The sequence below is a fragment of the Homo sapiens genome, chromosome 9, assembly GCF_000001405.40.
Source record: "Homo sapiens chromosome 9, GRCh38.p14 Primary Assembly".
NCBI classification, from domain to species: Eukaryota; Metazoa; Chordata; class Mammalia; order Primates; family Hominidae; genus Homo; species Homo sapiens.
In genome coordinates, this window is record NC_000009.12 from 76,969,523 (window position 1) to 76,973,026 (window position 3,504).

Here is a 3,504-nt window from a genome sequence, read left to right on the forward strand (position 1 = left end):
AGTAAGGTAGCAAACCAGATATCCCCAGGCATAGACCCCTACAGGCACAAGTGGAAAGCAACGAGAACTTCCCAAAGACCCCAAAAGCAGACAGCCAGGCTGTAAAGCAAAGAGAGATCTCCCAGGGCTCAAAATTCAGACAGTTCATCTGTAAAGCAAAAGGAGATCCCTGGAAATTCACCAGTGTTCAGACTCTAATTCTTACTGAAAAGAAAGTCCTGATTCTACCCTCGAAACATTTGAAGCCAGTGGAGAATGGAATCAAACTAAAATGGCAACAAAGCCCAGACCCAAATCAATGACAAATTAGTGTGCCTTACTCAGAGCCTGAGAGAAGAAGGAGTGTGTCCTTTTATGGGAGTAAATGTTCTTTATCTCCACCTCTACTGTTGTTTAAGGAAAATGACTACCACACAATCAAAAATTATTAGTCACATGAAGCAACAAGAAAATGTGATATATGAGAGGTTAAGTGAAAAAAAAACATCATTGGAAACAGATCCAGACAAAGGAATTATTACACAGGAACTTTAAAATAAACATGTTAAAGCTTCTGATAGACAATGTGGACAGAACACATGAGCACATGAGGATTTCAGCAAAGAGATGGAAAGTATAAAAAGAAATAAATGGAAATGCTGAAAGTAAAAATTATACCAGTAATGAATAATTAAGTGTACAAGCTTAACAACAGATTGGACACTGCTGAGGAAAGAAATTATAAACCTGAATTCGGGTCTAAAGAAACTATACTACTCTCTTCCTCCATTGATGCTTCTTCTCCCATCCCTCCTAAAGGCACAGCTGGGCTGAGCCCTGTCCACCATCCGGCTCCCTCATGTCAAGTACATCCATATCTGTCCCCTTGTGCCTAGGATCCCTGTGACACTGAACATGAAGACGGTGATGCCCTCCTAGTTTGACCCAATGGGGCTGAGTCCAGGTGCCTCAGAGGACGAGGCTGGCATCAAGAAGGCAGTAGAGAACTTAAGGTCCCAGCCTCTCCTCGGCCTCCTCCCTTCCCTGTCCCCCCAGGAAAGCACTGGGCAGTGCCCCTGTCTGGCTCCCTTCCTGGGCCCCTTGGCAGCTTCCCCACATCCAGTCATGCCCCCTCCCCCAAGTCAAGGACTTGATTGAGCACTAGATGAAGAATGTGGTCCCTGCCAATCAAATTGTCCTGGGTAGCTTTTCACAGGGTGGGGCTCTGCCCCTCCACCCAGCCCTCTGGCTGGCATTGTGGCTTTGAGCTTCTGGCTGCCTCTGCTCTGGGCCTTCCCCCAGGCAGTCAACAGCAGTGCCAAGGACCTGACGATTCTTTAGTGCCATGGTAAGCTGATCCCCATGCTGCCCATATAGTTTGGGGCCCTGATGGCCGAGAAGCTCCGTTCTGTTGTCATACCTGCTGGGGTCCAGCTCGAGACATATCCCGGTGTCATGCACAGCTCTTGTCCTTAGGACATGGCAGCTGTGAAGGAATTTCTTGAGAAGCTGCTGTCTCCTATCTAACTAGAGTTTCTAGTCCCCAGTGCAGTCCCTACCTCATGGGGGACCCAGCAAACAAGCTGGAACCTTGGCACCATCTTGGATCTGAGCCTGTTGAGCCCCTGTCCCCACCCTTCCTGACCTGTTCTCTTCCCACAGACCTCTGGGGCAGGTGGCAAGGCCTGGCCAGCCCTTCCTTACTGGCCTCAGCCACTTAGCTCTATCTGCAGCAAGGGTGGGCTGCTTTCTTACCCCATTTCCCTGGAGGCAGGCCCCCCTGGCAGCAGTATTGGAGGGGCTGTAGGCAGCTGGAGAAAGGGCCCTAGCTGCTGACCCACTCACTCAGGACCTCACTCACTAGCCCTGCTTTGGGTCTCCTCCTGTGACCTCAGGGTTTGGCCCATGGGACCCTTCCAGGTCCCTGCCCCAACTGATTCTGCCCAGATAATCATGTGTCTCTCCTCCCTTTACTCCAGCTGCTTCTCAATCATAAACACGGCCATGGCCCCAGGGCCCCCTTGCTGCTTTGGGCTCCCCATCCCTGGGCAAGAGTGTTGGTGAGGAGGTGGAGTCTTTCAAGGGGGTCTTTCCTCAGCTGTTTCCCCTCACTGTAGGGCTAGGCTCTGCCTCCCCCTTACCCTCTTCCTGCACAGTTCTGGAGCCTGCTGACTGAGGTTCAGGTCTCCCCCAGCTGTCTCATCCCCAGTTTGTCCCACTCTAAGCATGGAGGCAGTGGGAAGGAGTTGTGTCTCATCTTCTGTCTCCATGTGTTTTGGGGTGTTTTTCTTGTTGTATCTTGAATTCTGATAAAATTAAAGAAATCATTTCCTCAAAAAAACTATACCAAAGGAAATACAAAAAGAATGGGGGAAAGTGGGATAGAACATCTGAGATCTGAGGAACAATATCAAACAGTCTAACACATGTGTTATTGGAGTCCCAAAAGAAGAGAAAAAGAGATGAAACAAAGACACTAGAAATATTTAAAGACATAATAACCAATGATTTTCCAAAACTGATTAAATACATCAACTTCAGGCAGAATAAATATAGGAATACCAGCAAACCTCAGCAAGTTAAAAAAAAATTTAAAAATAAAAACAACTAGCCGTACCGTAGTCAAACAGCTAAAAACCAATACTGAAAATAAGCTTTAAAGTAGTCAGAGAAAAATGACATATTATATGCAGGAATCAATGAAACAAATGATGCCTGACTTGTCATCAGGAAAAAAAGGCAACTGAATGACATTATTAAAGTGTTGAAATAAAAAAACTATCTACCTAGAATTCTATATCCCACTAGATGATCCTTCAGAAATTATGATAAAATAAAGACATATTCAAAAAGACAAAAGGTTAAATAATTCATTGCAAGCCCCTGCATCACAAGAAATTCCAAAGGCTGGAGTTGAATTATCCCAGAGGGGAGCCCTGAGGTGTAAGAAGAAGTTAGGGGCACCCAAAAAAGCAAACACCTGGGTTAGTGTAAAATGGCTTTTCTTACCTTTATTTTAATATTTTTTAATTTCTTAAAATACTATTCACTATCTGAGGCAAATATAATAATATCTTGTTAGTTAGAAAAACCATCCATCCATTTATGGCCCCCAAAGTAAGCATTTATCCTGACTTTTCTATATAAACTATATCTCAGGGTAACCAAATAGTTGGGAAGGGGAAGTTTCTCTCTCAAAATATGCCAGTTAATAAAAAAAAAGAAAAAATTAAAATATCAATATTTTACAAATTCTAATAAGGAGGAGATGTAGGAAAATATCATCAGTGACTGCTAACAGAACAAAAGAGAAACAACCAAGAATTCTATGACTTGTTGTACATATACTCACCACCACCTACAGAAATACTCTTGGCTGAGCTGGTGGCTCATGCCTGTAATCCCAGCACTTTGGGAGGCCAAGGTGGGCGGATCACCTGAGGTCAGGAGTTCGAGACCAGCCTGGCCAACATGGCAAAACCCCATCTCTAGTAAAATACACAAATTAGCCAGGTGTGGTGGCAG

At 45.0% G+C, this 3,504-nt stretch overlaps 1 pseudogene; it reads left to right on the forward strand.

The window, feature by feature from the left end:
• Positions 798–1,703, forward strand: LYPLA2P3 (LYPLA2 pseudogene 3; annotated as a pseudogene).
• Positions 1,704–3,504: the final 1,801 nt, after the last annotated feature.